The sequence below is a fragment of the Homo sapiens genome, chromosome 3 (assembly GCF_000001405.40).
Source record: "Homo sapiens chromosome 3, GRCh38.p14 Primary Assembly".
In the NCBI taxonomy this organism is placed as follows: Eukaryota; Metazoa; Chordata; class Mammalia; order Primates; family Hominidae; genus Homo; species Homo sapiens.
Window position 1 is genome coordinate 136,194,682 of NC_000003.12, and position 13,024 is coordinate 136,207,705.

General features: G+C 46.3%; 1 protein-coding gene and 1 pseudogene across 2 annotated transcripts in view, besides 9 other annotated features; both read right to left on the reverse strand.

The window, feature by feature from the left end:
• Positions 1 to 1,654, reverse strand: part of MSL2 (MSL complex subunit 2) — a 47,419-nt gene extending 45,765 nt beyond the window's left edge. The window contains exon 1 of one of the 2 annotated variants that reach the window (NM_018133.4): positions 291 to 1,654. In NM_018133.4, the coding sequence (NP_060603.2) occupies positions 291 to 432 (142 nt within the window). In that variant the 5' untranslated portion in view covers positions 433 to 1,654. The remainder of the gene's footprint in view (positions 1 to 290) is intronic. The other variant, XM_011512949.3, reaches the window with a different exon arrangement.
• Positions 442 to 511: an enhancer, noted in NCBI's record as "active region_20579". NCBI's record gives its function as "activates an Ori minimal core promoter by ATAC-STARR-seq in GM12878 lymphoblastoid cells {active_cell/tissue: GM12878}" and the evidence as "EXISTENCE:reporter gene assay evidence [ECO:0000049][PMID:35858748]".
• Positions 562 to 611: an enhancer, noted in NCBI's record as "active region_20580". NCBI's record gives its function as "activates an Ori minimal core promoter by ATAC-STARR-seq in GM12878 lymphoblastoid cells {active_cell/tissue: GM12878}" and the evidence as "EXISTENCE:reporter gene assay evidence [ECO:0000049][PMID:35858748]".
• Positions 611 to 1,357: an enhancer, noted in NCBI's record as "H3K27ac hESC enhancer chr3:135914134-135914880 (GRCh37/hg19 assembly coordinates)". NCBI's record gives its function as "activates a minimal SCP1, AML or CMV promoter by ChIP-STARR-seq in naive H9 embryonic stem cells {active_cell/tissue: H9 hESC(naive)}" and the evidence as "EXISTENCE:reporter gene assay evidence [ECO:0000049][PMID:30033119]".
• Positions 611 to 2,201: a biological region, named in NCBI's record as "hESC enhancers GRCh37_chr3:135914134-135914880 and GRCh37_chr3:135914881-135915627".
• Positions 662 to 731: an enhancer, noted in NCBI's record as "active region_20581". NCBI's record gives its function as "activates an Ori minimal core promoter by ATAC-STARR-seq in GM12878 lymphoblastoid cells {active_cell/tissue: GM12878}" and the evidence as "EXISTENCE:reporter gene assay evidence [ECO:0000049][PMID:35858748]".
• Positions 1,072 to 1,461: a silencer, noted in NCBI's record as "silent region_14757". NCBI's record gives its function as "represses an Ori minimal core promoter by ATAC-STARR-seq in GM12878 lymphoblastoid cells {active_cell/tissue: GM12878}" and the evidence as "EXISTENCE:reporter gene assay evidence [ECO:0000049][PMID:35858748]".
• Positions 1,358 to 2,104: an enhancer, noted in NCBI's record as "H3K27ac-H3K4me1 hESC enhancer chr3:135914881-135915627 (GRCh37/hg19 assembly coordinates)". NCBI's record gives its function as "activates a minimal SCP1, AML or CMV promoter by ChIP-STARR-seq in naive and primed H9 embryonic stem cells {active_cell/tissue: H9 hESC(naive and primed)}" and the evidence as "EXISTENCE:reporter gene assay evidence [ECO:0000049][PMID:30033119]".
• Positions 1,682 to 1,731: an enhancer, noted in NCBI's record as "active region_20582". NCBI's record gives its function as "activates an Ori minimal core promoter by ATAC-STARR-seq in GM12878 lymphoblastoid cells {active_cell/tissue: GM12878}" and the evidence as "EXISTENCE:reporter gene assay evidence [ECO:0000049][PMID:35858748]".
• Positions 1,902 to 2,201: an enhancer, noted in NCBI's record as "active region_20583". NCBI's record gives its function as "activates an Ori minimal core promoter by ATAC-STARR-seq in GM12878 lymphoblastoid cells {active_cell/tissue: GM12878}" and the evidence as "EXISTENCE:reporter gene assay evidence [ECO:0000049][PMID:35858748]".
• On the reverse strand, positions 10,808 to 11,262 carry RPL31P23 (ribosomal protein L31 pseudogene 23; annotated as a pseudogene).

Here is a 13,024-nt window from a genome sequence, read left to right on the forward strand (position 1 = left end):
TGTGCATGCATCTTACCCCCACTTAAACCACCACCACCAGATGAACCGAGGCGAATTAAACCATTTTGAACGTTAACGCCGCTGCACAAAGCGGTATGAAAGGGTTCTCTGCCTTTCTGAAACGCCGGGCAAAAGTCCCTCAGCAAGTTTCAAAACTAATGACCGTACAGCGCTGCACAAATAACAAAAGCTTAATACCAACCACCAGGCCGTCAACCCGCTCACGTTACCACTGCCCAGAAGGCTTTTAAAAACAAGCATTGAAAAGGGAACAATAAAAAGCGTCTCACCGCAAACACAGCACGAAAGGGACTGTCGGAAGTAAGGCAAGAGCCTGTTAATCTCAGTAAACGCCTTGGGGTCTCCGGGGTCGTAGTTGAGCACTAGGCGGCTCGCGGAAATGTAGAGAGCAGTAGCATTCACGGGGTTCATTGCAGACACTTCGACACCAATGGCTCCCGGTTGAAAAGAAATTCCGGATCCAACTTAGTAAGCAGCCAGGGAACGATGGCGAATTTGCAACAATTCGGAAGAAATCAGAGCCGAACCATTGGCCAAACAAGTAACCAAAATCCGTGCAAGTTTGTGGAGCTGAAACAATCCTCCCACACATGGGGCCTTGGCGCCCCTCCGTCCCTGAGACTTCCAGACCAAAAATATGAGAGAGAAACCAGCGTTCGAGTTCGTCCGGAGCGACCACAGAGCGCAGAACGCGGCGGCTTGGGCGCTCGGGGCGGGACTCGGAGCTCAGTCTAGCCCCGCGGCTCGGCAGGCGGCCTGCACTCGAGCTCCATCTCCGGACACGGAGGCGCCTCCTCAAGTCGAGCTGGCAGGCGCGGGAGCAGGCCCCGGCCCCGTCTGAGGCGCGGCACGCTTCTCCCGGGCTGCAGGGCCTCTTACTCCATCCCAGTACAGGGCGCGGAGGCGGCGGCGACGGCAAGGACGACGGTCGGGCAGCGGCTTCCCGGATCTAGTGCAAGACGCCGCGGCGGCGACGAAGGTTGATGTTGCGGCTGGCGGACGCCGCCGCCGCGCTCTCCATATCGGACGCGGGGCCCAGACTGCGCCCTGGCTCTCCGCCCCGTGGGTTGCAGCCCGCAGTTCCCCGAGGTGGCGAGGCGGGCGGGAGTCCTCAACCCGGAGGGGAAGGCCGGGGAGGAAGTGCGCGGGCCGCCGCCGGCGGGCGGGAGGGGGCGGGGGGCAAGCCCGGCCGGGCCGCGGCGGCGCCCCTCGCGCCTCAGTCGCACACTCCGGGGTCACCAGACTCAAGCGCCGCCCCCTCACTGCCCGGCCATTTTTTCGGCGCCACACACACAGACGACTCCTCCGCCGAGCACGACGGCCGCCGCCGCCCTCAGCACTCCCCGGCCGCGGAAGGCAAGCGCTCACACCGCCAGGCCCCGCCGCCGCCCAGCGCACACAGCAAGGCCCCGCCGCAGGCCCCTCCCCCGTGCCTCGCCGCCCTCACCCCGACTCCACGCGCCACTCCAGCTCGGTAGGGCCCGGGCTGCTGCGGCCTTAATGGATCCCGCGGGCTGTGTGGCGCCTCAGGCCTCTGCTGGCGGCGACGACGACCGTTACCCCAACGGGCAAAGCCACTGTCATCCCCGAGACTCCCCCGCCGCCGTCGTCGCTAGCGCTCGCACGCATGCGCAGAGCACACTCTCACCCCTCCCCCCTTTCCTCTCCCTTCGCTTCCCTTTTCCCTTGCTTCTCCTCTAACAACCCCCTCCACAGCCTCCCAGAGCTACCGGCTCACTCCACGCATGCGCAAGCTGCTACCTAGCTCCGCCGCCTTTCGCCCTTCCGCGTGCGCTTTGACCGCCCACCCAGAAAACCGGATAAACACATCAGCCTGCTCGCGCCAGTCCCTCACCGCTGCCAACCCACCCTGGGCTCACTGCGCATGCCTGGCTCTCCACTTCGACTCTCAGAATGGAGCATGCTCTCTGCGAGCCGACAGCTCTCTTCGCCCCTCCCCCACGTGCTCTCAAATTCCCTCTCCCAGGCATGTGGGCTGTGGTGAAACATTCGTTAGCTGGCACATCCTTCCCCAGTGTGGGCTGCAGGCTTCCCGCATTACACTGCTTCTGTGCCCGCCAACGCCGGGGCCCGACTTGGTAGCGCCATGTGGCGCTCTGCACTGGCCTGAACGCGGCCTCTCGTCCTGACTGACCGCGGTGTGAGGAAATAGCCGCGCCAGGCCCCAAGCCCCGCCCTCGCGGCCTTTCTCCTGGAACCGCTCATCCCGACCGCGGAAAGGGCGCAGCCTCGGCTGGCTGGCAGGCTCTCGCCGAGCCGGGAAGGCTGCAGTAGTCAACGTGGCTGCGCGCCCAGCAGGCGTGCGGACGGCTTTTGCCGGGTCGGGGCCGCGTTCCGCACCTCTCTGCGGTGGTTCGCAGTCAGAGGGCTCTAAGGCCCTGGCAGGCTGTATGTAAGCGTGGAGGCTCGAACCCACTGCCCCCTCCTACCCGTCGGACCCGCGCTGTTCCCACGGCCTCTGGCCCTTGGACTCGTGCGGCCTCACCTTCATGGGTGCCGATCAGGACTTCACCGAGCTCTCACCGGAACAGAGTCCTGTTTTAAAAACAAAACGAACTCCTTTTTTTTTTTTTTGAAAGACCTAGCTTTTTTAAAAGACCTAGCTCTTCTGTGTGAACAGATGTCTTGAAGAATGCGTGATCTTGCTCTAGAACAAACCCAAATCCTTGCAAATGTTTTGTTTTTTAAAACAAGCTTTTGCCTTTTGTTTTTGCAGGAGATCAAGGGCACTGGGATATAAATAAACAAAAGCCTGACTTAGTAGATGACTTCCCTCCCATCTCAAAGTACAAAACCTTTTTTTGAGTAGCACAAATAGTAACAGGCCATAGGAAGCATTTCTTATCTCTGTACACACCAAAGCTCCTCAGCATAATTTTTCATGCACAGTAGGTACTCTATACGTTTGCAAAGTGAAAATTATGATGCGTGTAAATCTATTGTGGCACATGTTACATATGTACACAGGCACGTATATGGAACATGTAAATGTGGTACGTGTTAGTTACAAGCTGCCACTTGAGGTGAGTAGGAATAGTTAAGATATCAAGGGAACACATATAATCTCGATTTATAATTTCTATTACCATTTGAAGACAGGTTTTTTTTTCACAAGACCTACCATATTATCAACACTTAAATATTAAGCAGTAAGAATATAACTTCCTAATTTTGATTAGCTGTGCAAACTGTATTTGGTTGTCTTATACGTGGAAAATGACAAATATTCTAAAAGCCACTCTCATTTTTAAAAGCTCTCTTTTTTTTTTTTTTTTTGCATAAGAGATCTTTTCTAAGCTCTCCTTCAAATAAAATTGTTACACGGTTCTATTTTTACTCCAGACTCTAAGGTCTTCTCCCACAACACAGAGGTGGTTCTCCCCAAAAGGAGCAACACAGAGTAAAATAATCAGCACTGTTTTCCGTTAAGACAATAAATTAGCAGTCACCCTAAGCAAGTGATTACTTGCAGGGCATTAACCTTGCTAATTTTCTCATAACTGGATTTTTACAAATGTCTTCAGATGTGTACACCCCAAATTAAGATTAATTCTGTTGATCATTCGTGTGCATGGACGTGAGAGAGAAAACGTGTGTTAAGCCAGTTCTTTTTTAGCTTCTGAAATTGGTTGCAACTGGTAATAAGAGTATTGTACTTAGAGGCAAAGAATCTTGAGGTATATTCTCTTCTAATATTTATTGGCTTGCTTGAGCCTTGCCTAAAAGGGAAACAAATGAATTGTTTACAGAAAATGAAGTGCTTCAGCAAAGAAACTATCAACAGGGTAAACAGACAACCTACAGAATAGGAGAAAATGTCTGCAAATTATGCATCCAACAAAGGTCCAACATTCAGAATCTATAAGGAACTTAAAAAAATCAACAAGCAAAAAACAACCCCATTAAAAAATGGGCAATGGACATGAACAGACACTTCTCAAAAGAAGACATAGGCCAGGTGCGGTGGCTTATGCCTGTAATCCCAACACTTTGGGAGGCCTAGGCAGGCAGATCACCTGAGGTCAAGAGGGCGAGACCAACCTGATCAACATGGTGAAACCGCATGTCTACTAAAAATACAAAAAAATTAGCCAGAAGTGGTGGCAGGTGCCTGTAATCCCAGCTACTCCAGAGGCTGAGGCAAGAGAATTGCTTGAACCTGGGAGGCAAAGGTTGCAGCGAGCCGAGATCGAGCCACTGCACTCTAGCATGGGCGACAGAGCAAGTGCCAAAAAAAAAAAAAAAAAAAAAAAAGAGACATACAAGCAGCCAATGAATGTATGAAAAAAATGCTTGGCCGGGCGTGATGGCTCACGCCTGTAATCCCATCACTTTGGGAGGCTGAGGTGGGCAGATCACAAGGTCAGGAGATCCAGACCATCCTGGCTAACAAGGTGAAACCCTTTCTCTACTAAAAAATACAAAAAAAAAAAAAAATAGCCAGGCGTGGTAGCACGTGCCTTCAGCTACTCGGGAGGCTGAAGCAGGAGAATCGCTTGAACCCCAGAGGCGGAGGTTTCAGTGAGCCGAGATCGCACCGCTGCACTCCAGCCTGGTGACAGAGCAAGAATCTGTCTCAAAAAAAAAAAAGAAAGAAAAGAAAAAAGAAAAAAATGCTCAACATCACTAATCATCAGAGAAATCCAAATCCAAACCACAGTGATATACCATCTCACCACACAGTCAGAATGGCAGTTATTAAGTCAAAAAATAACAGATGTTGGGGATGTTCCAGAGACAAGGGAATGTTTATACACTGCTGGTAGCACTGTAAATTAGTTCAGCCACTGTGGAAAGCAGTTTGGAGAATTCTCAAAGAACTTAGAACTACCATTTGACCCAGCAATCTCATTACTGGGTATATACCCAAAGGAATATAAATCGTTCTACCAAAAAGACATGCACTCATTTGCTCATCACAGCACTATTTACATAGCAAAGAAATGGAATCAAACTAAATGCCCACTGACAATGGGCTGAATAAAGAAAATGTGGTACATATACACCATGGAATACTATACAGCCATAAAAAAATTATGTCCTGGCCGGGCACTGTGGCTCACACCTGTAATCCCAGCACTTTGGGAGGCTGAGGTGGGCGGATCACCTGAGGTTGGGAGTTCGAGACCAGCCTGACCAACATGGAGAAACCCCGTCTCTACTAAAAATACAAAATTGGCCGGGCGCCGTGTCTCACACTTATAATCCCAGCACTTTGGGAGGCCGAGGTGGGCGGATTACCTGAGATCGGGAGTTTGACCAGCCTGACCAACATGGAGAAACCCCGTCTCTACTAAAAATACAAAATTAGCCGGGCATGGTGGTGCATGCCTGTAATCCCAGCTACTCGGGAGGCTGAGGCAGGAGAATCGCTTGAACTTGGGAGGCAGAGGTTGCGGTGAGCCGAGATCATGCCATTGCACTCCAGCCTGGGCAACAAGAGCTAAACTCCATCTCAAAAATAATAATAATAATAATAAATAAATAAATAAATAATAAAAATAAATAAAAATACAAAATTAGCTGGACGCAGTGGTGCATGCCTGTAATCCCAGCTACTCGGGAGGCTGAGGGAGGACAATTGCTTGAACATGAGAGGTGGAGGTTGCAGTGAGCCAAGATCACACCATTGCACTCCAGCCTGGGCAACAAGAGGGAAACTCTGTCTCAAAAAAAAAAAATGTCCTTTGCAGCAACATGGATGCAACTGGAGGCCATTATCTGAATTAACACAGGAACAGAAAACCAAATGCTGCATGTTCTCATTTATAAGTGGGAGCTAAACATTGAGTACACATGGACATAAAGATGGGAACAGTAGACACTAGAGCCTACTTTCTGGGGAAGGATGACAGGAGGGTGAAAGTCCAAACCTACCAGGGTTGGGCACGGTGGCTCACACCTGTAATCCCAGAAATTTGGGAGGCAGAGGCAGGGGAATCCCAGCACTTTGGGAGGCAGAGGCGGGGGAATCATTCGAGGTCAGGAGTTCAAAACCAGCCTGGCCAACATGGCGAAACCCCATCTCTAATAGTAATACAAAAAATTAGCAAGGCATGATGGCGCATGCCTGCAGTCCCAGCTACTGGGGAGGCTGAGGCAGGAGAATCACTTGAACCCAAGAGGCAGAGGTTGCAGTGAGCCGAGATTGCAACACTGCACTCCAACCTGGCCAACATAGTGAAACTCCGTCTCTACTAAAAATACAAAAATTAGCCAGGTGTGGCCAGGCGCAGTGGCTCACGCCTGTAATCCCAGCACTTTGGGGGGACGAGGCAGGTGGATCACAAGGTCAGGAGATCAAGACCACGGTGAAACCCCATCTCTACTAAAAATACAAAAAATTAGCCCAGCACGGTGGCGGGTGCCTGTAGTCCCAGCTACTCGGGAGACTGAGGCAGGAGAATGGCGTGAACCCAGGAGGCAGAGCTTGCAGTAAGCAGAGATTGCCCCACTGCACTCCAGCCTGGGCGACAGAGTGAGACTCCGTCTCAAAAAAAAGAAAAAAAAAATTAGCCAGGTGTGATGACACATTCCTGTGATCCCAGCTACTCCAGCCTAGGCTACACAGCCAGACTCCCTCTCAAAAAATAAATAAATAAAAAGTTGAAAACAATGGTAAAGGTGGTAAATTATATATGTATATTTTTCCTAAATAAAAAACCTCTGAAATAAATGCAGTTTGATTCTTTTTAAAAAAAAAACATTAAAAGTGCTTTAATTATTTAGGAAAAATCATATATAACTCAAATTCCTTTTTTTTTTTTTTGAGATAGTCTCACCTAGGCTGGAGTGCAGTGCTTACTGTGTCCTCAGCCTCCTGGGCTCAAGCAATCCTCCCACTTCAGCCTCCTGAGTAGCCGGAACTACAGGCACATACCACCATGCCCGGCTAATTTTTTTTTTTTTTTTGTATTTTTTGTAGAGACGGGAGTCTAACCATGTGGCCTAAGCTAAAGGGATCTGACTCCAGCCTCAGCCCCCCACAGTGCTGGGATTACAGGCATGAGCCACAGTGCCTGGCCTATAACTCAAATTTCTTTTTATTTTTATTCTTTTATGTTTAGTTCTGGGGTACATGTGCAGGATCTGCAGGTTTGTTACGTAGGTAAACGTGTGCCATGGTGGTTTGCTGCACCTATCAACCCATCACCTAGGTCTTAAGCCCAGCATACATTAGCTATTTTTTCCTAATACTCTCCCTTTCCCCACCCCCCCATCCCCGACAGGCTCCATCCAGTGTGTGTTGTTCCCCTCCCTGTGTCCATGTGTTCTCATTGTTCAGCTCCCACTTATAAGTGAGAACATGCAGTGTTTGGTTTTCTGTACCTCCGTTAGTTTGCTGAGGATAATGGCTTCCAGCTTCATCCATGTCCCTGCAAAGGACATGACCTCATTCCTTTTTATGGCTGCCTAGTATTTCATGGTGTATATGTACCACATTTTCTTTGTCCAGTCTGTGGGTATTTGATGGGCATTTGGGTTGATTCCATGTCCTTGCTATTGTGAATAGAGCTGCAATGAACATACACATGCATATATCTTTGTAATAGAATGATTTATATTCCTATGGGTATATACCCAGTAATGAGATTGCTGGGTCAAATGGTATTTCTGGTTCTAGATCTTTGAGGAATTGCCACGCTGTCTTCCACGATGGTTTAACTAATTTACATTCCCACCAACAGTGTAAAAGCACTCCTATTTCTCCGCAACCTCGCCAGCATCTATTGTTTCTTTACTTTTTAATAATGGTGTTCTGACTGGTGTGAGATAGTATCTCATTATGGTTTTGATTTGCATTTCTCTAATCAGCGATGTTGAGCTTTTCTTCATATGCTTGTTGGCTGCATGAATGTCTTCTTTTGAGAAGTGTCTGTTCATATCCTTTGAGCACTTTTTAATGGGGTTGTTTTTTTTTTTTGTAGATTTGTTTGAGTTCCTTGTAGACTCTGGATATTAGAGCTTTGTCAGATGGAAAGATTGTAAAAATATTCTCTCACTCTGTAGGTTGCCTGTAATTTTTTTTTTTTTTTTTTTTTTTGGAGAGATGGGAGTCTAGCCATGTTGTCTAAGCTGAAGCTATCCGCCCCCAGCCTCAGCCTCCCAAAGTGCTGCTGGGATGACAGGCATGAGCCACATATTTCTTAAACTATCAATTTAAGATAATGTCTTCCTTTTTTTTTTTTTCTGGAGACAGGGTCTTGCTCTGTCACCCAAGCGGGAGTGCAGTGGCAAGATCTGGGCTCACTGCAGCCTCTACCTCCTGGGCTCAGGTAGCTCAGCCTCCCAAGTAGCTGGGACTACAGGCACACACCACCACGAATTTTTAGTAGAGACAGGGTTTTGTTATGTTGCCCAGGCTGGTCTGAACTCCTGGTCTCAAGCTGTCTGCCTGCCTCAGCCTCCCAGAGTTCTGGGATTACAGGCGTGAACCACCGCACCCAGCCTGAAATTTAAATTTAACAGCATTCTTATTTTATCTGGTAACCTAAAGTGTGTATGCTTTCACTATAACCTTATGTTGTTTTCAATCTTGCCTTGGAAACTCTTGTGAATGGAGTTCTTTTCATTTCATCAACATGTGTTTACTAAGCCTCTGCTCTAGCAAAGCCCTGTACCAGAGTCTGGGAAGGTAAGACAGGCTCTGCCTTTAAGGTTAGAAGTCCTTTCTTACTCCTTTTTGTATTAACTAGAGAACTCAGCAAAATTTTTCAGTCATGGTTTCTCATTCAAGTCAACTCTTCTGGACTCATTTAGTTCAAGGGTCACCATATGAAGTAAGAGAAAATTAACCTGCTACTGGGTGTATAAATTGATAGAATATTTCTGAAGGACAACAGGCAATATTAAAAGCTTGTGAAGTTTACAGAGCCTCAAAACTAGCAGTTCCACATAAGTCTCTAATTGATCCTAAGTTAGAGATTCCCAAACTTTCTTGGTTCATGGTGCCTTTAGCATCTCAGTAATTTTTCACCACACCCTTAGGCCAAAAGAAATATGAAATAGTTTGTGTTTTGTTTTGTTTTCTTTTTGGGTTTTTTGTTTGTTTGTTTTTGAGATGGAGGCTAGTTCTGTTGCCCAGGCTGGAGTGCAATGGTGCGATCTTGGCTGACTGCAACCTCCACCTCTCGGGTTCAAGTGATTCTCCTGCCTTGGCCTCCCGATAGCTGGGATGACAGGCACCTGCCACCTCGCCCAGCTAATTTTTGTATTTTTAGTGAAGACGGGGTTTCTAGTAGAGACTGTGTTGGCCAGGCTGGTCTCAAACTCCTGACCTCATGTGATCTGCCCGCCTCGGCCTCCCAAAATGCTGGGATTACAACCGTGAGCTACCATACCCGGCCTGAAAGAGTTTTTTAAGTAGTTAGGTCCAAACAACTTAATGAGTATTTATGCCCTAACATGGTAGCTATTTGAAAAAGTAGGCCAGGCACGGTGGCTCAAACCTGTAATTCCAGCACTTTAGGAGGCCGAGGTGGGAGGATTTCTTGAGGTCAGGAGTTCGAGATCAGCCTGGCCAACATGGTGAAACCCCGTCTCTACTAAAAACACAAAAATTAGCTGGGCGTGGTGGCACGCGTCTGTAGTCCCAGCTATTTGGGAGGCTGAGACAGGAGAATCGCTTGAACCCAGGAGGCAAAGGTTGCAGACAGCCGAGATCGTGCCACTGCACTCCAGCCTGGTGACAGAGCAAGACTCTGTCTCAAAAAAAAAAAAAATCAGATTGGACATCACCCTCATTTCCCAGATCACATGGATTTTTGTGCAATGCTTTATTTTTGTCACAGCACCAGCAAAAACCCAGCTTTGCAAAGATATAACCTCATTGAAAGGAATGTAAGGTGATCTAATGTTGAAACTGTAATTTTTACAGTAACCAACAAATGTCAAATATTTTCCTCACAAGGTTGAAATATCCTGCGGCTTCTCTATGAGTTCTCTGTGGCACCTGGGGGTACGTTAGTGCACTCTTTGGGAACCAGAGATCTAAGACAATAGGATAATCTAGGATTATGAAGAGATTTTTACGGTTTTTTTTGTTTGTTTTTTGTTTTTTGTTTTTTCTGAGACGGAGTCTCGCTCTGTTGCCCAGGCTGGAGTGCAGTGGCCCAATCTCGGCTCACTGCAATCTCTGCCTCCCGGGTTAATGCCATTCTCCTACCTCAGCCTCTCAAGTAGCTGGGACTACAGGCGCCTGCCACCACGCCCGTCTAATTTTTTGTATTTTTAGTAGAGACGGGGTTTCACCGTGTTAGCCAGGATAGTCTCAATCTCCTGACCTCGTCATCTGCCCGCCTCAGCCTCCCAAAGTGCTGGGATTACAGGCGTGAGCACAGCGCCTGGCCAGAGATTTTTATATAATAATCATTGCAGTTGTTTATACTATTTTAAAAAGAACCAATCCAAATTTCCAGATTGAAAACAACCTATATTATGGATATATCTACATAGTAGAATATTATATAGCTATTAGGAATGATGTAAAAAATTAAAATGATATAAAAATGTATTTATTGACAGGGGAAGATATTCATAATATATTAATTTTTTTAAACCCTGATTAACAGAACAATTTTGGAAAAACTAAATATCCATGCATGGTAAAAAGATGACTATAAAGACATACACCAAAATATTATTTTTTTCTGGATAGTGGGATTGTGGAAAATACTTGTTTTTCTTATTGTCTGTATACCCATTTTGAATTAAAGCTTCCCTCTTCTATTCTCCAATATTGCCAAGTGCTTACCTCTTTCTTTTCTTTTTTGAAGGCAGTTTTATAATTTTATTCGATGTATTTGACGATCAGCGATTAGTTCTCATCCACGTTGAGTCTACAGATTTTTGAAGGTGGTAACAGGTATATAGGTAACCAAAGTATAGAAATTATTTGGTGAATCTTCATCCTCATTACGTTTTCTGGACAACAGCACACAGATTCAGTATGGAACATTCCTTGTTCCTTTGGCCCAGACAGCTTTGTTGAGCCTGGTATCAATGTGCACATCTGGAGTTCCCATCTCCTTCATGGCACATTTCCGAATCTCTTTGAGTGCCCTAGGGGCACACTTCTGGAAGCCCGCTCCATAGATGTGGTTGTGAATGTTGATGGTGTATGCTCGGGTCACTACCTCGTTGATAGCAGAACGGCCTTTTTTCTTCTCGCCACCCTTCTTTGTGGAAGCCATTCTGCCAGGTCCAAGTTGATAAAAAGCGTGTTTACCTCTTTTGTTGCACTACCACACTATGCTGCAGTTGTTGGTTTAGCCCTGTTTCCTCCCCATTATATTTCTATAACTCTTAGGAGGTCAGTTTTCTCCCTCTTTGCCTCTTATCCTCATTGCTTAGCATAAGGTCTGACATATAATAGGAATTCAATAATTGTTAAAATAATGATTAATGTGACAATATAAGTAAATTCACTAGTATAGTGTGTAGTACCTAATAGGCATGGAAAATTGTTTGCTTTTTCCTTGGGGAGAGATATAAAATGCCTTACAAATTTGAAGCCAGTTCTTGTTTCAGCTTGATCAAATCAATGTTAATTATAAGGTCCTTAATAAAACCAAAAGTGTGAATTGATTTGAAACACTCAGAATATCAATCATCAAGTATTTATTGTATGCACTCTAGCACTTTGGAGACAATGAAGTAAATACAGAAATAGTTGTAGTTATGTTTTCAAAGAACAAAGATCAGGCAAGCAGTCAGAGAGACTTTCTGACGGGTTAGATTGTTTACAAAATAGCTAATTTTTGTCTTCCTTTCCCTTCCTCTTTCACCCTCCTTCCTCTGTCCCCTCCTTTATCTTCCTCCACCAAAAACTCTCTGTAGAGATGATGTTCCCTCTCCCACTTTCTCAAGTTGCATTCTCCCTCATTGCTTATTATTTCTATCCCATCGTTTTCACCATTATACACATCCCTACCAGATTTTAACAAATGCCTGGCCGGGCACCATGGCTTATGCCTGTAATCCTAGCACTTTGGGAGGCCAAGGTGGGTGGATCACCTGAGCTCAGGAGTTCGAGACCAGTCTGGGCAACATGGCAAAACCCCGTCTCCACCAAAAATACAAAAAAATTAGCTGGGTGTGCTGGTGCACACCTGTGGTCCCAGCTACCTAGGAGGCTGAGGTGGGATGATTGCTTGAGCCTGGGAGGAGGAGGTTGCAGTGAGCTGAGATGTCACCACTATACGCCAACCCAGGTGACAGAGTGAGACCCTGTCTCAAAAACAAAAGCCACAAATGCTTAATCTACTGTCATTGTGGAAACCAATAAATCTAATTAAACACAATCTATGGGAAAGTAAAAATAGCATAATCTAAACTCATGAAAAATCTTCAGAGATTGGCCAGGGTAGTACTTCTTTATAGGGAGCAGTAAACCAGATGAAATTAAACTAGGCTGTAATTCAGACTGATACTTCTGTTCTTTCCTGATCATTCCTTTCTGACCATTACCAAACTTCCTCTTCCATCCTCTGCTCTTAGCTGTGGTCATAGCTCTCCCCTCCTCAGTCCTAGAGCTCCCAAGAACCACCTCCCTTCCCCCTCCAAGCAATTCCTGCTGATATTTTTTCCATAACATTTTCCAAATCAATGTATCTCTCCATTGATTTAATCCAAAAACATGTATTTAGCAAGTCAAGCACTCATTTATTTTACACCTCAAATATTAAATTTTTTTTTTATCTTCTTCATCTCTAACTCCAGCCTTAACAAAGCAGCTTGCTTTATTGGTCATCTACCTAAGACAGTGCCAAACGCATTAAGGGATCCACTAAATGTTACTGTTTTTATTCCCCAAGACACTTTCAACAGTATTCAAATGCCTATTAAATTTGTCCATTCATTTATGCAACCAACGTTTATTGCCAGTTATATGCCAGGCATTCAGAATACAAAAATGAATAATTCAACAGTTTCTAGCCCTCAAAGAGTTCACAGTCTAGTTGGGGTGGCAGCTATGTACACG